The 23065-nt window shown below is 39.3% G+C and overlaps 1 protein-coding gene and 1 non-coding gene across 17 annotated transcripts in view, besides 5 other annotated features; one reads left to right on the top strand and one right to left on the bottom strand.

The window, feature by feature from the left end:
- OSBPL9 (oxysterol binding protein like 9) overlaps positions 1-23065 on the bottom strand; it is a 270948-nt gene that overhangs the window by 46459 nt on the left and 201424 nt on the right. For 4 of the 16 annotated variants that reach the window (NM_001350210.2, NM_001330580.2, NM_148904.4 and 1 more), the window contains exon 1: positions 12637-12911. The exons of 9 other annotated variants lie outside the window; for them this stretch is intronic. Coding sequence is in view for 2 of the 7 variants with exons in the window: in NM_148909.4 (NP_683707.3) it covers positions 2550-2618 (69 nt within the window). In the remaining 5 variants the exon portion in view is untranslated. Of the gene's footprint in view, positions 1-2549; positions 2619-12636; positions 12912-23065 lie in introns of those variants that run through there. 3 more of the 16 variants (NM_148909.4, NM_001350209.2, NM_148907.3) reach the window with 2 other exon arrangements.
- Positions 11391-11440: a silencer, noted in NCBI's record as "silent region_881". NCBI's record gives its function as "represses an Ori minimal core promoter by ATAC-STARR-seq in GM12878 lymphoblastoid cells {active_cell/tissue: GM12878}" and the evidence as "EXISTENCE:reporter gene assay evidence [ECO:0000049][PMID:35858748]".
- Positions 12646-12695: a silencer, noted in NCBI's record as "silent region_880". NCBI's record gives its function as "represses an Ori minimal core promoter by ATAC-STARR-seq in GM12878 lymphoblastoid cells {active_cell/tissue: GM12878}" and the evidence as "EXISTENCE:reporter gene assay evidence [ECO:0000049][PMID:35858748]".
- Positions 12646-13325: a biological region, named in NCBI's record as "H3K27ac hESC enhancer GRCh37_chr1:52195252-52195772".
- Positions 12661-13181: an enhancer, noted in NCBI's record as "H3K27ac hESC enhancer chr1:52195252-52195772 (GRCh37/hg19 assembly coordinates)". NCBI's record gives its function as "activates a minimal SCP1, AML or CMV promoter by ChIP-STARR-seq in naive H9 embryonic stem cells {active_cell/tissue: H9 hESC(naive)}" and the evidence as "EXISTENCE:reporter gene assay evidence [ECO:0000049][PMID:30033119]".
- Positions 12906-13325: a silencer, noted in NCBI's record as "silent region_879". NCBI's record gives its function as "represses an Ori minimal core promoter by ATAC-STARR-seq in GM12878 lymphoblastoid cells {active_cell/tissue: GM12878}" and the evidence as "EXISTENCE:reporter gene assay evidence [ECO:0000049][PMID:35858748]".
- Positions 17865-17986, top strand: LOC124900447 (small nucleolar RNA SNORA26). Its single transcript, XR_007067401.1, has one exon. It is a non-coding gene; the product is annotated as a small nucleolar RNA SNORA26 (small nucleolar RNA).

Below are 23065 nucleotides of genomic sequence, written 5' to 3'. Positions count from 1 at the left end.
GGAGATTTATTTTTATTTATTTTTTGAGACAGGGTCTTGCTCTGTCACCCAGGCTGGAGTGCAGTGGTACAATCAGGGCTCACTGCAGACTCAACCTCCTGAGCTCAGGGAATCCTCCCACCTCAGCCTCCCAAGTAGCTGGGACTATAGGCATGTGCCACCAAGCCCAGATAATTTTTTATTTTACTTTTTTTGTGGAGACAGGGTCTTGCTATGTTGCAAGACCCTGTCTCCGCAATAAAATAAAAACTCCTGAGCTCAAGCAATCCTCCCACCTCAGTGTCCCCAAAAGTGCTGAGATTACAAGGTGTGGGCCAATGCGCCCGGCCGAGTTTTAAACAGGACTAAGAATATAGTCCTTTACCATATTGAGGGTGGTCTGTCTTTGAAAAGAACTGAGAATAGGGCAAATTCTTTCAGACAGTGTGACTTCATACTTCTTACAGTAGCTTTTGAGAACAAGTAAGCTGGGAGTCAAGTAGATACACATTCTAGTATTCTGTACTTGCTCTAACATTTATCACATTTTATCATAATTGAATATTTGAGTGACTTCTCTGAAGGATTAAAACTCCACAAGGGCAGGAACTATGCCATTCATTCATCACTATACCCATCAGGGCCAGCTCAGTGTTAAATGAACACACATGGCGCTGGCTACAGTGACTGGAAATTGTTGATGCCACAACATCGGTCTTCCCCCGACCTCCTCTCCCGAGATTTCTCTTACCTTTCTGTTCTCTTTCTCCTATTCTCTACTCCCTCAAGCCTTTTCTCCATGTTGTCTTTCTTTCTCTTTTGTCCAGGTCCTTCAGTAGTAACTGAAGGGATTATGTCGCATTATTGGCACTCAGGACCAAAGAGGTTGCTGCTCTTTGGTTTATTACACTGATGTGAGCCACAGCTCTAATTAGATGATTCCTGTATGAATTCATTTAAAGTTTAAATTATACACAACAATTATAGAGAAATAAAGACAAAATGGTCTGTGATGTAACAAGAAATTAAATTAGAAGAATCTCAATAGAAATTAAACTTCAATCTAACCATAAAATTTAGAAACCTATGTAAAGAAAAACCACTTCTGTGGTGAATATGCTAAAAAAAAAAAGTCTCTGTTTTTCAAAAACACTTTATTAATAAAGCTACTCTAGCCTGGGCACAGGGTAAGACCCTCAAAAAAAAAAGAAAGAAAGAGAGAGAAAGAGAGGTTGGGGGAGGGAGTGGGGAGAGAGGGAAGGGAAGGGCAAGGGGAAGAGGAAGTAAAGAAAAAAGGGAAGGAAAGGAAAGGAGGAAGGAAGGAAAGAAGGAAGGGAGAGAGAGGGAGAAGGAAGGATGGAAGGAAGGGAGGGAGGGAAGGAGGGAAGGAGAGAGGGAAAGAGAGAAAGAAAAGAAGCAAAATCTAAAGTAGATACATAAAGTCAAGAAGAATAACACATACTTCTATATCATCCAGAATCTATGTATCCAGTTTAATAGAGAGAGAAAGAGAAACATACACATCTGGGCCAATTTAAGGGGAATTTCTAAAATAATATAACTAGACTTGTAGAAGAATATCAAACTGCCTCAAAACTGTATGTCGGTACTTCCTACTACCTTTCTAATACTTAAGTTAAATAACACTACTTTTTTCAGAAGGAACTTAAAAGCTAACAAATGTCAGCAAAATCAATTCTTAATGATTTCAGTTGGGACATTAAACACTATTTATACTTTACACATACACGTAACTGAATGTTTTACCCCCATTAAAAGGAGTACTGCAAGAGAAGTCCTTAAAACTGTCTGAAGTGCATATAAATTATAGTTGCTTTGGAGAGACACTTCCTTAGTAAAACAACACAAGAGTCAATTCCTGAGGCAGAGTAGGAGCTTTTAAAGTAATTCCTGCTGACAGAGGAAGAGTAATGAACAGTGGAGATAAAGGTGAAGTTCTTGAGTCCAGAATCCGGAAATTAAGAAACCTATGGGCAACCTGAGGAACCGAGAATAAGGTAGAACAGGAAGGCTGAGTAATAACATTGTAAAAAGAAATTCACAAATGAATAATTGTTTTCATATCTAATTTTATTTCACAGTGAAAACTTAAAGGAGTAAGTGTCCTATATGCAGTACTTTCTTATAGGGCAAAATCATATATAATAAAAATATGTTGTAAAAAGAGAAAAAGAAAATATATTAGAAGTAAGTTATTCTTTGTCTCATAGAAAAAATCAGAATAACAAGAAAAACAGGTAAGTTATCAGTAGTAGAACTGTAAATTAAACAATAGCTTAAAAACTTAACAAAGAAAAAACACACAACAAGCCTCCTAATGAAAAATAAATGGCATGAATCTGGACAAAAGCAGACATTTTTTTTTAATTAGTAAAACACATACCCTATAATAAAACTAATGAAAACTTAGCAGGAATGTAATTTTGATTAAAATATGAGAATATTGGAAAGTTTATGTTCACAATTAGCAATTTGAGATGACATGCATCACAGATAAGCTTTCATCCAATGAAAGAAGTATAGAGCATACTTACAATTCAATCACTTACAATTATTTTTGAAAATTCAAGAACTGGAGAGATACCAGAAGACTGGAAAAAAGCAAGTGTGGTACTGATCTTCCATAAAAGTAAGGAAAAGAGAGAATAGAAAGTTACCATGCTGTGAGTCTAACATCAATAATCAAGTAAAGGAATAGTAAGAGAAAAATCTGTAACTACACAGAGGAAAAGTAGGTACATGAGCAGCAAGTGGCAAGTTAAAAAAAAAAAGATTATGCCAAACATAATGGCCTTTCTTAGAAATTTAAGTTAGCAAATTAAGTTTTTAGAGAAATGACATCTTGTCTCCCTACCAAAAGTGGTTTGACGATGAAAAAAAGTATATTAAAGAGACCAGAAATATTACTTATACCATGATTTTATGTGAGGCACACTAATCTGTGATTTCCTTGGATTACTGAAAATTTGGAAACATTTACAATCCCTACTGTCCCCGTGGTTTATCCATTTCTGCTAAGGGAAGAACAGGACTTAGAAGAACAGGGAAGTTCTGGGGTTAAGATTTTCATCTCTTTTAATCCTAAGGAATAGTCAACTATCAATTCATTTGGAGTGAAGATCATCAATTAAAAAATATCCATAAAATTGAGCCTAGTATTAAACCTTTCCTTTCACTATACCTTAGAGAAGTTATTTTCCATTTACCAATGTCTTGATAATCTAAGGCTTCAAATTAGGTTCTTTATTGTCAACATGGTAGCTGTAGTTACCTTACCAACTGCTAGGTACCTCAAGAATGCCCTGAAAAGTAAGGTCTTTTTCTGTAATGCTAAGTAAGCAGCTCTAACATCATGGATGCACAATGTATATTAAATTTTTTTCAGAGTATTAGGTACTCTACTAGACACTTTACAAGCTTTCTCATTTGAGCATTATAATACAGTAAGGTAGACAGATATTAAACCTGTTTTATAAGTGCTTACCCAAATCATCCAGCTGAATTTTTTTTCAATTGGGATATCAACCTAGTCCTTTGACCAAATCCATTATACTTTTCTATTAAATCACAATGATGTTTAAAAGGAATTAATGACAGAAGGGCACTAAAATGTAATCTAAAAACTGCCTGAAGGCCCTTGACATAGTGGAAACGAGCACAGCTTTAAGGACTCATCTAGTTTTAAATCCTGAATCTGCAACTTTCTAATGAATTACCTGTGTGATCTAGCCAAATTACTTTTTTCACTTACATTTTCTCATCCATGAGTATAATAATAAACTACTCAAGGTTACTGGAGAGATTAAATGAGTAATACATGTAAAGTAACACAGTGGTAGGTGTTCTACTTCCCCTTCATAATTTGGAGCCTTAGATAACCAGGATTCACCACTATATCTCCAGGCCCTTACGCATAGAAGGCACTCAATGAGTACGGATGGATAAAAACAAAACGAATCAAGAACTAGATAATACTATAACCACAGGCAATTTTCATATAGATCTACAATCAAGTAAAGGCTATAAGCATAAGTTAAATTGTATTTAACATCTGTTTTAAAAACAAGCTATAAGTTGATGAACTCCCAAGAAGATAATAGAGAATGGTAATAAAAAAGAAATGAATAACAGACAAAACAAGTGGTAAAACACAGTATGGAAAACAGAGCAGGAAAAATATTCCAATATGAGATGTTCAGGAAAGCACTGGGTATTATGACTGAACCACAAAAGGTAAACTGTACTTAATTATTACCTTGGTAACAAAGAATCAAACAATATAAAGAAAGTTTTTTTCATAAAAGAATCTAATTTTTGAACATATGTTAGTGCTTTGAAAAACCAGAATTGCGTTTATCTTTAAATTTACAAAGAAAGGTTTATGTGTAATGTTCAGTTTCTGCTAAAAAATAAATCTGGTACAGCTAAAATCTGGTACAGGAATCGGGTACAGCTAAAATGCAAGAACTTCAATCATAACCCTTAGCACAATTCCTTACTCTTCATGATACCCTCATCTGATACTAATACACCCTTTGACTTATAGAACAAAACACAAATACTAACTCCATAAAGTGATTTGGTTACTTATACAACTAAACAATAAAGGTCTGGAATTCGTACCATTTTTCTCTATTTAAATCACTGACAGCTTGTCTTTCCCAGACACTCCCAATTTATTCAACAAACCCATATAAGAAGTTACTAAACTAACCAAAACAAACAAAAAACTTAAGTCTGTAAATAGGATGACTGTATATTTTAGTTTGCCTGGATGGTCAGTTTATGCCTGGTTGTCTCAGCAAAGTTATTATTAGCAGCCTCCTTCACTCTCAAGTATCCCAGTTTAGGCAATAAATTACATGGTCACCCTCTCTATATAGGATATAGCTAGGATTTTTAAGACACAAATGTTATGAAAGGCATATAAAATTGCCTCAGATGATTCAGAATCCAGCAAATTGCCTTTTTAAAAAACTACAAAACCTAAAATGAAATGAGTTTACAGGTTCTGAATGCAGAAAGCAAGCTACAGAAATAAAAGACACTGGAATTCAATGCAGTTAATATTAACTGAGTGCTTACCTTATGCTAGATAAGTACACACATGAATAATACTCAAGTTGCAGTTTTATGTAATTTTACTTACGCACTAGAAGTTTCATTTTAAAAAATGTACACACACACACACACACACACACACACACACACACACCCCTGAAATATAACACATGAAACAAAAGAAACAAAACACCTGCAGTTACCCCTAGGGAATGGGACTGAGGAATGAGGGCATGTGAGACAGTGACTCTGAGTTTTTATTTTACACATTCATGTTGTTTAATTTTTTAAAATAAATATGCATTTATTTTATAATTTACATTCAAAAGCTTTAGGTAAAAATGTTCAGAAGCTACAGGTTATGAACATTTTTAGAAAATTTTATAACCATTTTAGCATGCAAGGTCATAAGCATTATTCTTTTGAAATTGTCTATAAAATTATAAAATGTTTTCCAGGAGTAAATCTGGCAAATGCTAAAGCTGCTCAGATACACCTTTCCAAGCAAAAAAGTAGGATAGCAAATTTATAATATCATTTAAAGGTAAAGCACGCACTAGCAAAAAGCACTTAAAACTTCGTAATCACTATACTGGAATAAATAAAATAATGAAAAGTGGCCAATATAACCAAGCAAAATGGCAAAGTTTTTTTTTTCCACCTCCTTCCTGCCAACAACATGATCATGACTCAACATCCAAGAAAGCAATCTCTTAAAGAAGAAAACACCTACTACAGCACACCACCTAACAAAAGCACTGTTGGACTATGTAGTGCTGGCAATCAGCCAACACTTTTCTTCTGAGATACTTTAGTTGGTTAGGCTACTTGCAGTATCTTTCTTAGAAGTCATGGAGTAAATCATTCCAGGATCTAAATAAACTCTGAGAGGTTTACTAGTACAGGATGAAAGAAAAATATTCTTCCATTCCCCAACCTCAGATTAAGAGCATTTTGGAAAGCCTATCTGGAGTCTACTTTTAAGGATCCATCAAAAATGAGTAAATTTCCTGGAAATGTGTTCTACAAATAACTAGGAAAAATTAACATTAAATACGTGAATCCTTAAACTGAGTACTTTAGTAGTTAGTTCAGGTTCTGAAATAACTGCAAAATTCTTATAGCCTAATACTTCTTGAAAATTTGATTATGAAATGTTTTCAAAAACAAAACCTGATATATTAATCTAACAAGACTGAATCTCTACAGCAGAATATAACAAATTGACAAATTAACACTCAAGGTGATAGCTAGTCAGGACTAACAGATAGATGATCAGTCACAGGCAAACAAAATAAAACAACGACCCTGACTTGAATAGACTCAACAATTGTTCTGACATTTATCTCTTAGAAATTATATATGCCAAAGCTGTCTTCGTATATCTAATTTTAGCTGCCAATGAGTACCAGAAGAAAACAGATTCGGTTTTCGCTAAAGTTGTTAAAAAGTGCATACAAAATTACTGATTTAGTTTAATTGTCAGAATCTATCAAGATGATATAAAATACAAGCCAATGAAAACAGGACTTCGTTTTATTCTCTACTATCTCCACCGGGCTAGTGTTTGGTTTGTAGCAAGTCCTCAATAAAAATTTTGTAAATGAATTAAGGAATTCTGCAATGTGCCCACCTGTTAACATTTAAACACAAAAAGTAATCAAGGAACTAGTTCTTGCAGATTATAAATCAGAATATTCGTGGAAAAATCATAAATAACTCATAGAGTTATTTTAAGGGATTTATTATATTAGTTGGTTGCTGTAATGTATGGCTGCTGAATTTTTCCAAGGCTAAACGTTTTTAAGAAGAAAGAGAAACTAACTAGGAGAAAAACACATTGAAATAAATGGTAGTAAAACAAGAAACAAGATGAGGCAATGACAATCTTCTTGTCTCTCTAAAAACTCGTTATCTCACACTAAATCTTATCCTGAGCACATTTTTACACATACTATGCTGGACCTTAGAATTCAGTGTTACAATAATTACTTATTCACTGAGCATCTCTTATGACTATGGCCCTGTGCCGGATCCTTTGGGGATGCCAAGATGAAGCAGACACAGATCTAAAAGAGTTTCATTCTATTAGAGGGAATATATATCTGTCTACAAATAATTGATTCAAGCATGGTAAAATGTTATCAGAAAAGCACGAAGAAATTCAAAGGAGAAAGTTATAAGGACGAGAAAGCTTTCACAGAGGATGCAATTTAGAGTGTAGGATTTGGACAGAAATGGGAGGGGTAAAGCAGTACTCCACCGGGCTAGTGGGCCCTGGCAGGAAACAGCATAATCAGATACAATGTTTGAACTTTTCTTTAATCAAGTGACTACAGTACCCACAGAAGTGAGAGTAGGGCTAAGAAAACTAACAAGAGATGCTGAGGTACTCAGGAATTAAGAGCTGCAAGTAGCCTGAAGGGGCAAGGAAACAAACAAGGTTCCCACCGGCCAGTGGACATGGACGGCTGTAAAACAGTCACTGCCAGAATTGCCTCAAAGCATGGAAGGAGCAGAAGGAACAAATACTCCAAAGGCCTTTTTTCCCTTCCATTTTCTGTCACTGCTTCCCATTTGCTAAACCCCAACCAGAAGCCAAGGGATAAAGGATCCCAGATGCTGAAAGCTGTAAAAGTCAGCCTCCTAGAGCACGGAAGAGAGAAGGCCAGAGAACAAATCTGCAAGAAAATGGAGAATAACCAGAAAAGGCATATTCCCAAACTGAGGAGCTGAGAAGCACAAGGAGGCCAACTGAGGAACAATATTCTGTTACAGAAGAATGTATATTTTTTGGATCTGGATGCTGAATCTCAAGGAAACCAAAATTAGTGGCTAAAAATGGGAATAAGTACTAGGGTTTGGGGGGGAAAGGCGACCAAGGGGTGGAGACTACCAGGGCAGCACCCTGAGTCTCTCTGGAGAAAATAAAAGAGCAAGAGTCATCTAGGCTCTGGCCCTAGTCATTTACTCTCTAGCTATGTGGCCATGGGCAAGTCGTTTAGCTGCTTTGAGACTGATTTCTCCACAATAATAAAAATTTTTAAAAAGGTAGAAATGGAATTAGAATTTGAAAATTCTCTCCAGCTCTAGGATTGTGTGATGCCAATACTTCCAGGTAAACAACTAGGTTCACCAGGAGGATAAATTCCTAACCATATTGGAAAACCTGGGGCCCGTGTATTCACCTTAATAAAAATTAATTTCATTTAAATAAACACAGTAAGAATTTACAGGTTCCAACTGCAGCCAAGTCCTCCACGGTATGACAAAATATGTCAAAACACAAGCAAACTCTGTCATTTAGTGTAACCTTGAAACTGAGTGAGAAAGACTAACACAACCAGATTTTAAAACATGCTCTGGAATGCAGAGAATGCAAAGAAACAACGGAGTAAGCAGAATAACTTAATTGAAGTGGCACATTTTGGGAAAAACGAGTTGTTCAGTCAATACAGCAAAGAAGCCAAGTTCCTAAAGGTGTCTCCAGAAATAAATGAACTCCAATATGGCAGGAACTACAGTTCTCTTCTCTCTCTCCTGCGTGCGCACATGTATACACACACATACAGAGCAACCAAACCATTCATTCATGACACATATATTTATTTAATGTCTATTATGGCCAGGTACTATCATCATCTTCAAAGGATGTCTTTAAGGACAATAGAGATAATATTAATAGCAAATATAATTAAGCATTACCTAATCATCTGGAATGAGCTCAAATTTCACCTTTAAAGCAGTTTCCCTGACATTCTAGCTAGCCTACATGCTTTTTCCTATGATACTAACAATACTCCAGAACCAATTAGTACTCGTACTACTATTAGTATTATTTTAATCATGTTAGAGGTCCTATAGATTGGGTAGGGGAAGGTGGGGAGTCCTGGAAGTCTGCCCACTTTTTTTTTTGTTTGTTTTTGAGACAGAGTCTCGCTCTGTCACCCAGGCTGGGGTGCAATGGTGTGACCTCGGCTCACTGCAACCTCCTCCTCCCAGGTTCAAGCAATTCTCCTGCCTCAGCCCCCCAAGTGGCTGGGCTTACAGATGCCCACCACCACACCCAGCTAATTTTTGTACGTTTATTAGAGATGAGGTTTTACCATGTTGGCCAGGCTGCTCTCCAACTCCTGACCTCAGGTGATCTGCCAGCCTGGGCCTCCCAAAGTGCTAGGATTACAGCGTGAGCCACCGCACCCGGCCCTGCTCACCATTTTTAGCACTGTTTCTAAACATTTTTCCAATCCCCCGTTTCTCATGTCTGGTAGCAACCAGGGAGCTTGGTGACCTAGGAAGCATTTTTAACTCACAGGGAAAAACCTAACTCCAGTAAAACTGAGTCAAAGGTTTACACACTTAAGCTATTATCGTCACATATTTTGATCACTTAAGCACTTACTGAACACCTACTATGTGCCATGCACTAAACTAGGGACAAAGGCCCCGGGGATACAAAGATGAGTGAGAACCCCAGATCTCTAGGAAATCAGGGTTTAATGCAAGAATCACATATGTTTAAAAATTTACAATACAACTTAGTGAAGGCTGTGATATGGAGATATGAGCAAAGTGCTGTAGTAGCACACACAAGAGTAACAAACTCACCCTGCCTGAAGGAAGGCATCATAGAAAAGGTTAACACAGGAGCTGTATGCTAAGGAAGAACTGGAGGCTTACCACTTGAGATACAGTGGGGTAATCTAAGCAAGAAGGAAAGGCTGTGAAAAGACAAATAACTGTGAGAGGCTATGGCATGTTCTCAATGAGAAACAGTTCACAGTGGATGCCGTGGGTAAAGCACCTGGAGCTGAGTCTGGACTCAGAGATAAATCAGGACCAGAATATGAAGAAGGGCCTCCAGGACATGCTGGGCAGCTGGACTCTGGCAAGGAGGAGCCAAAACACATTCTTAACTATAAGAGCGGCAACCCATTCCAAATTTGTTTTTGGATAAAAAGGATGGGGTAAGGGGAGTCCAGTGACAGACTAGTCAGAAAGCCTTGCAAAAGTCTAGGTGAGAGACCATGATGGCCTGAATTAAAGCATTATCATCTAGAAAAAAGTGACGAATCTGAAAAATATTACTAAGGCAAACATAACAGGACCTGGTGACTGGAGATGGAAAATAAGGAAGATGGAAAGTAGCTTTAAATGCCTGTGTGTGGTAGAACTTCATTAAAATATTTAAGGAGGAATACGTGGCTTAATTACATTGTCAGTATAAGAACTATTCTTTCAAGCTTAACAATCTTTGTTTAAACCTTTACTGAAAAGCTTCCTAAATATAATTTTCTAAGTATACTACAGTAATCACAAAGTCTTTTTTCTATATAAGAATCATCATAAATATCTGTTTTCGCTCTACAGTATAAAGTTTAGCTACAGATAGAACTCAACATACCCCAGGGGACATCCTAGAATTTGCTTCTCTGAACAAAAGCCTGATTATCAGATTTTCTTGTCATCGTCCCCTTTCTTAATCAACAGCGTGCAAACCATGTGAGTGCCTGACTTTCCAACCAGCAGAACATGGTGCTAACAAAATAATGCTCTTTCCTGGCTGAACCAAACTTACAGTTAAATTCCCTACTAATCTTAATATCAACAGAGATTGAAGTGGGGATGGCTGAGCGTACAAAATATAATAATCTTTTCACATTAAAAAACATTTGAAAAATTTCACATTAAAAATATCATAGAACTTTAGAAATACCAAAATGAACGTGACCAGTAGACAGCCTTTGCATCCTCGTATTTACTGAAGGGCACTTCCAAATTCATCGTCATCTCTGTCAAAGCCAAACTCAGGGCACTTTGTAAACAGATGAAACTTGTCTGTTGTCTTTCTTGTTTCTCACTTAAGCTCTCAAATCAGACTACAAATCTGTTTTTTTCTTTAAGAGTTTTTTTTTTTTTTTTTTGAGACAGACTCTTGCTCTGTCGCCAGGCTGGAGTGCAGTGGCACGATCTCGGCTCACTGTAAGCTCCCCCTCCAGGGTTTATGCGATTCTCCTGCCTCAGCCTCCCGAGTAGCTGGGACTACAGGCGCCCGCCACCACGCCCGGCTAATTTTTGTGTTTTTAGTAGAGACGGGGTTTCACCATGTTGGCCAGTCTGGTCTCGAACCCCTGACCTCAAGAGATCCGGCCGCCTCGGCCTCCCAAAGTGCTGGGATTATAGGCAGCACTGTAATTACAGGCGTGAGCTACTGCGCCCGCCTTTTTGTTTTGTTTTGTTTTGCTTTGAGACAGAGTCTTGCTCTCTGTCATCCAGGCTAGAGTGCAGCGGTGCAATCATAGCTCACCGCAACCTCAAACTTCTGGGCTCAAGGGATCCTTCCGCCTCAGCTTCCCAAGCAGGTGGGAACACAGGTGCACATCACCACCACGCTCAGCTCATTTTTAAATTTTTATTGGGGCAGGGGCGGGGGGAAGGTTCTGGCTTTGTTGCCCAGGCTGGTCTCCAGCTCCTGGACTCAAACAATTCTCCCGCCTCAGCCTCCCAAAGTGTTGGGATTGCAGTCTGAGCCACCACGACTGGCCCAAATCTGACTTTTAATCATACACCTTCCCTGAACTAGAAAAGGTAATACGGTATTTTTATTTAGGTTGTCTCTTGTCGGGCTGCACAAAAAAAAAAAGGTGGGGGGGAGTAAAGCAATATATTTAAAGTATAAATAAATGACAGGTGCTAACAGTATTCATTAAAGGGTTTCATCAACTACTTAGTTCAATACAGGCAGTGTTCAAGAGAGATTATTCATAATTAACTACGTGAGAATTTCCAGTTTCAAAGTTCACTGTAAAAACTTTTAAAACTACAACTACTATTCTAAGATGCTTCCAGCTTCTCCACTGAGAAACTAGGAATTACTTGATTTTAACTTCCTTAATACAGCTAAAAGTAAACAGTTTAATCAAAAAGCAAAACAAAGTATTACTTCAAATTAGCAAAACTGGTTTTCTTGTTCAATACATCTCTCAACCTTTCATAACAAATACTTATAATACAGTATGAATGTCAGCAAAAAGTGCATTACTCAAATATGCTTCCTAGTCCATTAATTATACTCAACTTTCCATAACTCGGCTGGGCTAAGAACCCCATAAAACTATACCAAAGTTTTCAGTATTTTTGCACAAGCTACCCAAAAAGCGTAAAATCACCTCCTTCCCGACACACATACTCAAAAACAATAGCATCCGTAATTACTTTATACACAAAAAATACAGGGCCAGGCACGAACACCGTGCCAAAAATAAACCACCACCAAAAAACACTTGGCCTGCAACTGGAGATTCTATTAATGGGCAACTGGTCAAAATTAAGCTTTCACATAAGAGAAAGCTTAACTTTTCTGCTTAAAATCATATTCTGAGACAGCTTTCAAAAGGAAAACAGAGTTCCACAAAAATGAATAGAAAAAAAGAGACCTCCTCCAAAGTCTCATTTGGGGGCGAATGCCCTCTCGGTGGAACTGGAGGCCCTGACCTCAGCCTCCACCCCATCTAGGCTGAGGAACTGAGAACTCCCAAGGAAGAGGGGCCCGGGCAGCCACGTCGTCCTACTCACCCCAGGGGGCGGCGGGAAGGAGGCAGGGTGAGCACGACATTCGCGCTCCGGCCTGGCGGCCGGGACCCCGGGGACTCAGGGGTAGGGGCCGGCCCCTCTCCCAGACCCTCGGGGTCTACTCACTCCGCAAGTGGCCAGCAAGAAAGCCATTCGCCAAGGCCCCCGCCCTCTGTGCCTCCAGGGGAGGTAGCCGGGGGCTGCTCCCGAGCACCCCTTTTTCTTCTCCCCTCGACCCGATCCCCGGACTGCGGTGCAGGCGGTCCTGACTGAGGTTCAGCCCGTCCCCCGGGACACCCCCTTCACCCCCTTCACCCCCCACCCCTTTCCCGTCCCCTCCCCGGCGGAGGGGTCGCCCCGATTGGCTGGCCCTGGCGGCTCCTGGCAAAGAGACCCCTGGCGATTGGCCATGGGTCACCTGCTGTAGGAGGTGAGAGGCAGACGATTGGCGGTTGGGCCAGTTTTGGGTGGAGAGGCCGAGGGAGCTGGCAGCTCGCGGGAGGGGTGCGCAGCGGCGGGAGGGCGTCCGGAGCGCCCCGCCCAGACCCGCGACCCAGCCGCCTCCGTGGGGGGCGGGGGTTCACCTTGGGGGAGTGCGCCTGGGGACACGCGGCTTCTGCGGCGCCGGCGCTGCTGGGGGAAAGGGAGGTTGCGCTCTGGGACGCTCAGCCTGGTTTCGGGGCTTCAGCCCCGCGGATTCCCACTGGGTAGCGGCTGGAGAAGGGCCCGCGGGCGCCAGCGTGCCTCACCTACACCCACCGGCTTCTAACGTGCCATCCAGTTTATGGCAGCTGTGGAGCCTGGTCCCCGGAGTTTCACCTTGATAACGGATTTTGCTTACTTCCGGAAAGTTGTGTCGCGTGGGGGTTGATGGAGTGAGGGGAGGAGGAGATACTATATCGGTAAACAAAAGCGTGAGCGCCTATATTTTTATTAATCCGGTGAGACATCGTGGGCTTGCTGTTGTGCCACAGCTCCATAAGGAATGTAGGTGGCTTGTAAAGATGCTTCAGGAATCCAAATGGCGCAAACTGCAGATTATATCAAAAGTCTGGACTTAAGAGGACCTCGACAGAGAATCACCCAAAATGCAGGGAATCACAAACATAAGTGATTAACTTATTGATCTGGAGGACTAGCTCCTTTTCCGCTCTTGCTGGTTTTTCTTATGGTTAGGTATCTTCCTATCCCGCCCCCTTTCAGGACTCTACTAAACGTCCAATTATCTTTTGTACTTTTATGTCTCTACTGGTACCCACTGCAAGACCTAGCACAGGGCACACTGCACAAACAGCGCGATGCTGGCCAGGCGCGGTGGCTCACTCCTGAAATCCCAGCACTTTGGGAGGCGGAGGCTGGGAGAGGCGGGGGAAGGAGGGAGGATTCGAGGCCAGGAGTTGAAGACCCCAAAAACAACAAAAAAAGGTGCAATGCTTGCTGAATAAATATGCTAACCTGCTGGACTCAGTGTTAAAGATACCTTCAGTTTGTTGTATGTAAATCACTTCAAAATGCCCAACACCAGATGCACTCTCCCCTTCCCCCTACCCACTCTAAAAGCTGGGTACTCTGCCAGGGCTCCCTGTCTCAGTAAATGAAACTGCTATCATCCACCCTAATACGCAAACCATAAACCTAGTAGTCCTCCTAGACACCTTCCCCATTTCACATTCAGTGCATCACCAAGTTCTGTCATTTTTACCTCCTAAATACACTCTCCATTCTGTCCATCTCTCTCCATTGCCACCACCCTATAACAGGTCCTGGCCTGTTGGAATAATCTTACTAAAGTCTTCTTGAATCTACTCTGGCTACTCCAATTCATTCTCAACACTAGAGCCAGAGCAGTATTTCTATAACCAATTTTATTACCCCTTCATTGCCTCCCCCAATTAAAGAACTTTAACTGCTTTCCACTGAGTTGTGCTTAGGATACAATTCAATATTTAACAATGGCTGACAAGGTTTAGCCTTACCTACCGCTTAGCTCCATCTTTTACCTTGTAGTACCTATTTTCTGCTTTGCACACAATGGCCTTTTTCAAACTCCTTTAATTTGCCAAGGACTTTCCAATTTTAGGGCCTTGGCGCATGCTGTTATTTCTTTTATACTGTCCCCTTGACATCAATCCCCACACTTCACTTATTTACTTCTACTCATCATCATTTCCTCCCTGCCAATGTCAGTTCTTGCTATCTTACATCGTCATAGCCCATGTAACTCTCCTTTGTAGAACTTACTACAGCTGTAATTTTACATTTATCTTAGTTATTTATTTAAATTTTTTTAGAGACAAAGTCTCACAGGTCTCATGTTGCCCATGCTGAACTCAAACTCCTGGGCTCAAGTGATCTTCCTGCCTCAGAAATAGCTGGGACTACAGGCGCACACACCACCTTACCTGAGTTATTCTTTTTAATTAACTTTATAGAGTCATAATTTACATGTGATAAAATGTATCCACTTTAAATGTACAATATATTTTCATAAACATATGCACACATGTAACCACCACGATTAAGAAATAAAGTATTTTCCATCACCTGGGAACTTCCCTCATGCTTCTCTACAGTCAATCCCATGAACCACTGCTCTGCTTTCTATTTGTGTTATTCTTTGATTAATGTTGATCTATACCACTAGACTGTAAGCTTAACGAAGTGAGGATCCTATCTAATTCTGTTCAGCATTATATCATTATTTAGTAGAATTCCTGGCACATACGAAGTCCTCAAACAGATTTCTTATGGTAATAGATTCTGAAAATAAACATTAATTCTCTGATAAATAACAATAAACTATAAACAATGGTGGAGGGGAAAAAAAACATCAATTTTGCCAGATGTCCATGGTCAGTATTTAACCTTCACTAATACTCTTTTAAATTTTCCTTTAATAGCAGTTAATGTTGTGCCTGGGCAGCCCTAGGGACTTAATTCCATATTAGCTGATCAAACGGTTCTCTAAGCCAGTAAAAAAAAAAAAAAAAAAAAAAGCCTACATCTCTAATTCTGCCCATGCACTGTACTGTTTGACCCTACAAGGGACAAAATACTTATTTACTCTATGTTACAATTACATATTAAGAGATGCCAGCTCCAATCCAAAGTCTACATTTTCACAATTTAATACTACAGATAGCTATTTGTTGCAGACATGCAATTCTCATTTTCCTAATCTTAGTGTAAAGTTAGTGTTCATAAAAGAGGTAGCATTTAAAATAAAAAGTAATTACACAACACAAAGCAAATTTACCCATCTTGTACCAAGAAGCTATAACCAAATTTGGCAACTCATGCTGTTAAAAAAACAGAAACAAAACTAAAAGCTGTTAAAGCCTATTATGAGTTGAAAAAGGAAAAAACCCCAAAGCTGTTTCAAAATAAAGTGACCAGTGCCTAAAACTCATATGTGACAGGTGATTTCCAACCCATGAATCAGATTTCCAACTCTTCTTTCAACTATATAACTAAGGCTATTAGGTGATTAAATTACTATTTTAGACTGTTGAGCAAAAAAAAAATAGGCCGTGCCTATTACCTATACCTATTAAGATGAAAAGAAAATTTTAATTATACAGAATTCATGTACTACTTTCAAAAATTTTTCTGCTAGGGAGCCCAATAATGTTTACCTAGAAATCACATTCTGCTCTAATGTCACCCCAGACACAGATGAAAAATGCTTTGGTAGCAATGGAAGAAAAAAAAGAAGAAAAAATATAAAAAGCCAAATTAGGTGAGACTTCAGGTTTCTGATCTAGCATGTTAAGAAACTTAGAAGTACCACTGTGTTCTAACAACATGTAAAACACTGAACAAACTGAAAAACCAACAACTGTTCTTAACTCTGTAAGAGAAGTGAGGTCACAGGGAAAACTGATGACTCCCAAATTAGGAGACCAACAGGCAAATATAGAGAATCACAACTTCCCTGAGCAAAAACTCACAAGGGGCAACCTCCATGGGAACCAGCACCCATGGGAACCACTTAATGAACAGTAAATATATTTTATCTTCCTTATGATTTTCTTAATAACATCTTCTTTTCTCTTTATTGTAAGAATACAATATATAATACAGAAAACATATAAAATATGTATTAATCAACTGTTTATGTTATTGGCAAGGCTTCCAGTCAATAGCAGGCTATGAGTAGTTAAGCTCTGGAGGAGTCAAAAGTTGTATGTGGGTTTTCAACTGCACGGGTGGTAGGGAAACCTGATCTGTATTTGACAAATTGGTGGAAGCTCAGTGCAGACAAGTCTGAAAGATATAAACTCCAGGGACATGTAGTAATATGGGCAGGGGGGAGAACCACAGTTTTGTGAGTTTTACCTCCAGGAGCTCAATAAGGGTCATCACAGTGAATACTGGGGGAAAAAAAATCCCCTAATGCGTCCCCTCTAGGCTTCTTTGTAGGAGAAAGTATTTAATATATACCCAACTTCAGTCCTCTCTAGCCCTACTCTCCCACTTACAGGATGGACTTGAGAAGCACATGTGAAGTTGACAAAAGTTCACTAACAGACTGAAAATGTTTCCCCTCCATGCACACCTTACCACCACATTACTAAAGGTCCACTCACAGCAGTTTCTGTTACCTAATGCATCATGTATGGCTATCAAGAAAAAATTATAAGACATATTAAATAGGAAAAAACACAGCTGGAAGAGACACAGTAAGCATCGAAACTAGACTTGGATGTTGCAGGGATGTTGGAATTGTTACACCAGAAATTTGAAATAATTATGATAAATATCCTAAGAACTCTAATGGACAAAGTAGAAACCATGCAAGAACAGATGGGCAATGTAAGCAGAAAGACAGAAATTTTAAGAAAGAATAAAAAAGAAATGCTACTGATCAAAAAGACTGTAACAGAAATGAAGACTGCCTTTAATGGGCTTATTAGTAAACTAGACAAAGCTGAGGAAAGAATATCTGCACTTGAGAGTATCTCAACAGACACCTACAAAACCGAGAAGCAAAAGGAAAAAAAGACTGGAAAAAAAAAAGCCTGGAACAAAATATCCAATAACTGTACGACAACCACAAAAGCATAATGGGAACACCAGAAGAAGAAACAGAGAAAAGAACTGAAGAAAAATTTGAAACAATGACAGAGAATTTCTACAAATTAATGTGAGACATTAAACCGCAGATGAAGAAAGCTCAGAAAACACCAAGCAGGATAAATGGCATAAAAATGGCATAGACACCCTTTCCTGTGCCCTTTTAAGGTTGACGCAGTGCTTTAAGGGGCTAACACAGAAGGGTAAAGGAAGTCTCCATAAACCCCAGAGAAGAGATTGTAAAGCTCCTCTTTAGAACCTTTCTGGAGTCACACCTGAGAAAACAAAAACAAACAAGCAAAAAACCCTGACAGCTAGGCATATAATTTTCAAACTACTGAAAATCAAAGATAAAGAAAAAAATCCTGAGAGAAGCTAGAGGGGGAAAAAACTCAACTTGCCTACAGAAGAGCAAAAATAAAAATTACATCTGACATCTCCTCAGAAACTATGTAAGCAAGAAGAGTGGGCCAGGCGTGGTAGCTCACACCTGTAATCCCAGCAATTTGGGAGGCCGAGATGTGCGAATCACGAGGTCAGGAGTTCGAGACCAGCCTGGCCAACATGGTGGAACCCCCGTCTCTACTAAAAATGCAAAAAATTAGCTGGGCATGGTGGTGGGCGCCTGTAATCTCAGCTATTCAGGAGGCTGAGGCAGGAGAATCACTTGAACCCAGGAGGCGGAGGTGGCAGTGAGCTGAGATCGCGCCACTGCACTCCAGCCCAGGCGACAGAGTGAGACTCCATCTCAAAAAGAAGAAAAAAAAGAAAAGTGGAATGAAATATTTCTTTAAAGTACTGAGAGAGATCAGGCACAGTAGCTCAGGCCTGTAATCCCAGGATTTTGGGAGATTGAGGTGGGTGAATCACTTAAGGTCAGGAGTTTGAGACCAGCCTGGGCAACATGGCAAAACCCTGTCTCTACTAAAAATACAAAAATTAGCAGGCGTGGTGGCGCACTCCTGTAATCCCAGCTACTTGGGAGGCCAAGGCACAAGAATCGCTTGAACCTGGGAGGTGGAGGTTTCAGTGAGCCCAGATGGCACCACTGTATGGCAGCCTGGGCGACATAGCGAGACTGTCTCCAAATAAAATAAAGGACTGAGAGAGAAAAAAATACCAACCTAGAATTCTGTACAAAACTAAAGATATATTTACCATATGATCCAACAATGGCACTCCTTGGTATCTGCCCAAGGGAGATGACAACATACATCCACATAAAACTTGTATACAATGTTTATAGTAACTTCACTCATAATTGCCAAAACTTAGAAGCAACCAAGATATTCTTCAGTAGGTGAATGAATAGGCGGTACATCCAGATAATGAAATATTATTCAGCACTAAAATGACTGGAGCCTGTGATCCCAGCTACTCAGGAGGCTAACGCAGGAGGATCACTTGAGCCCAGGAATTCAAGGCTGCAATGAGCTATGATTGGGCCACTGCACTCCAGCCTGGGCAACAGAGTGAGACACCTTGTCTCTTAAAAAAGGAAGAAGAAAGAGGAAACAGGAAAGAAGAGGAAGGAAGGAAGACAGGGAAGAAAAGAGGGAGGGAAAGAAATGAGCTATCAAGCCATGAAAAGATGAGGATGAAACTTAAATGCCTATTACTAACGGAAAGAAGCCCATTTGAAAAGGCTGCATACTGTGTGATTCCAATGATATGACATTCTGGAAAAGGCAAAACTATGGAGATGTTAAAAAGTTCAGTGGTTGCCAGGGATGAGGGAGGAGGGAAGGAGGAACAGGTGGAGCACACTGGATTTTTAGGGTAGCAAAATTACTATGTATGACACTATAATGGTGGATAAATGTCATTATAAAATCGACCAAACCCATACACAACACCAAGAGTGGACTCTAATGTAAACTACGGACCTTGAGTGATAATGATGTGTCAATGTAGGTTCATTAATTGTAACAAACCACTCTGGTGGGGGATGTTGATAGTAGGGGAGGCCGCACATGCGTAGGGGAAGCGGGTATAGGGAAAATCTCTGTACATTCTGCTCAATTTTGCTGTGAACCTCAAACTGCTCTAAAAAATAAAGTTGTTGTTGTTGCTGTTGTTGTTATAGTTAATCAAATCATATTTACCCTAGGCATTTGCCTAGCAAGTCAGGCCAAATGAATGAAGCAGATAACCTTAAAAGACAACTCTTGGAAACAGGATACACAGTTTCACTATTTTGCCTGACTGGTTCCCAGAAGTCTCAAAACTAAAGTCAGTCAATTTCCATGTAGAAACTTTAGCCAGATATCACAAATACACCACCAAGCATGTATACGGTAGAAGCAGTCCCTACTTTATGATCAAGGCCACCATTGCTCCAAAAGTTTGTAAACTGTTTGCAATTTTTAATGCATTATCCAACAGAAAGAAATATTTGGTTCAAGGTTAGGAATGAATACCCTCTATACAACCCCACAACGCCTTGTTCACCACTGTATCCTTAGCATCCCTTCAAACAAGGAATGGCATGTATTAGGTACTTAAGAAATGTCTGTTGAATAAATAAAATGTCAGGTACTATGCTATAAAATGGCAAAATAAACTACTAAAAAATGTTGAAAATGGTGAGTCTGGGAAGTAGGAAAGTACAATGACAGGAGGCCATATTTTTGCTATATGAGCCTTTCAGTACCACTTAATTTTCAAAATTATTTTAGATAGCAATTATTGCTCTGATTTTTACAGGTAACATTCTGTGTTGGTCACTTTATTCTGAAAAAACATGTAGATTTTGTTGAAAATGCTTGAGTTGCCAAATTTGATTAGAAATACATAACTCCTTGCCACAAGATGAGTGAAACTGCTTTGTGTTGTCTAACTACTTCTATCTATCTATCTATCTATCTATCTATCTATCTATCTATCTATTTATTTTAGAGATGGAGTCTCATTATGTTGACCAAGCTACTCTTAAACTTCTGGCCTCAAGCAATCCTGCCTTGGCCTCTCAAAGTGCTGGGATTAGTGGCGTGAGCCACCATGCCAGGCAATCTTAAATCTTTATACTAGACTAGTTCCATAAAGTCAAGGGCTACATGTAGTTGTATTCAATTATATCCTCTACAACTAGTACAATGCATGAAACATAGTAAATGCTTAAAAAATATTTACCAAATAAATAACTTTCCTGTATGCTCTAAATGTTCCAAATTGAGCATGCACTATTTAACTGGCTACTTCTCCATTCCACTTTACCTGTGGAAGAGGTGACACATCTGTATTGCAACCATTTCCTTTGGGAGACAAAGGACTTCAAGGGAGAACGAATACACCTATTTTTCTACATGATATGAAAATATAATCTAACAAGGCCAGGGAAAACAATACAGTTGTGATAAACCGATCCTTATATACTGAGAAATTAAAATGGATGCTCAAAAAGCTAATCTTCAGTGAAGTAGTTCAAGAAAAATGCTCAAAAGATTTTTATTAATCTACTCAGACACATAATCCATTATAGCTATTGAGGGTAGAATCAAGGCATCCCAATACTAAAGATTCATTTTTCAGCAACTCTCCTAAATTGTACCTTAAATACAATTAAGTTATGTTAATCTATAACGAAAGTTGGGCAGACATGTAATTATCATACCTGATACTTCTTTTGGGAAAAAAAAAGGTTTTACAATGTCTCTATTGATAATGACTTGTAATTTTATTAGGCTGGTGCAAAAGTAATTGGACCACCCTAAAACCACATCTCCTTTTCATATAATGATGTTTTACTCACAGACTCAATGGTATTTCTAATGAGGCTTGTACCAGCCCACCCTGTTCCCTTCAGCCCTCCCTTTCCCTTGTATACTCTTATAACCTTGTATACAAGGTATCATGGCCTTTCTCTCTAGGGGCTTTAGATAAAAGCTAGTGACGACAAAAAAAAAAAAAAATTAACATAAAATTACAGGCAGTACCAATGAAATTCCAATTTCAGCCAGGTGTGGTGGCTCATGCCTCTAATCCCAGCACTTTGGGAGGCTGAGGCAGGTGGATCACTTGAGGCCAGGAGTTCAAGACCAGCCTGGCCAACAGGGTAAAACCCCATCTCTACTAAAAACACAAAAAACTAGCCAGGTGTGGTGGTGCGTGCCTGTAGTCCCAGCTACTTAGAAGGCTGAGGTGAGAGGACTGCTTGAGCCTGGGAGGTCGAGGCTGCAGTGAGCTGAGATTGCACCACTGTACTCCAACCTGGGAAACAGAATGAGACTCCGTCTCAAAAAAAAAAAAAAAAAAAAAAATTCCAATTTGATAACCACCAAAAATAAAATCTACATGAAGTAGCCACAAAAACCATACATATGAGGACAATTAATGCCCAATTTCTTAGCCCAAAGAATAATCATAGAAACCATTTAAATTTTTGAAATATCAACTGATGTATAGCATAAAGTTAAGAAACATAAAGGTCAGTCAGGCGCGGTGGCTCACGCCTGTAATCACAGCACTTTGGGAGGCAGAGGTGGGTGGATCACAAGGTCAGGAGATTGAGACCATCTTGACAACATGGTGAGACCCCGCCTCTACTAAAATACAAAAAATCAGCTGGGCGTCGTGGTGCACATCTGTAATCCCAGCTACTTGGGAGGCTGAGGCAGGAGAATTGCTTGAACCTGGGAGGCGGAGGTTGCAGTAAGCCGAGATCACACCATTGCACTCCAGCTTGGGTGACAGAGCAAGACTCTGTCTCAAAAAAAAAAAAAGAGAAAAAGAAAGAAACATAAAGGTCTATACAACTCAGTTAAACATCTGCATGAGCATCTTCAAACTTGAATCTAAAATACTTGAATCTACAACAATCTCCTGTGTTTTCATTCCTGATAGCCTATAAAAATTTGTATAGCCACACACTGTTACTCAGCTTAGTAACAACCTTAAAACCAAGTTACTTCATTGCCCATATTTGTACTTATAATCAAACTGGCACAACATACTACTTGTCATAGAAGTGACACTGACCAAGTAAATGGCATATCTATATGAAGTCAAAGCCAACTGACCCCATGGCATGTGCTATGCCAAGGAAGTCTTCCCAGTAGTTAGAACAGAGAACACATCATCACGTTCCACATGGTAGTGTACGTATGTCATAGTTTAAAAGAATCTATACCCTAACGATGAGTACCATTTGCACATTGTAAGTAGTGACCCACTTTTAGCAAGGCAATATCATTCATCACATTAAATTAATGTTAATTTAGATTGTATTGCTTTGTATTATGTTTAACTTGAAATTTTCTTTTGGATGTATAGTTCTATAAGATTTTAAACCTAAAAAATTTACACCTGGCTTTATGTTTGCCCACATTAAATAACATTATACTTAATACTTTACTTA

Source organism: Homo sapiens, chromosome 1 (assembly GCF_000001405.40).
Source record: "Homo sapiens chromosome 1, GRCh38.p14 Primary Assembly".
NCBI classification, from domain to species: Eukaryota; Metazoa; Chordata; class Mammalia; order Primates; family Hominidae; genus Homo; species Homo sapiens.
This window is presented reverse-complemented; position numbering and strand designations above follow the sequence as displayed.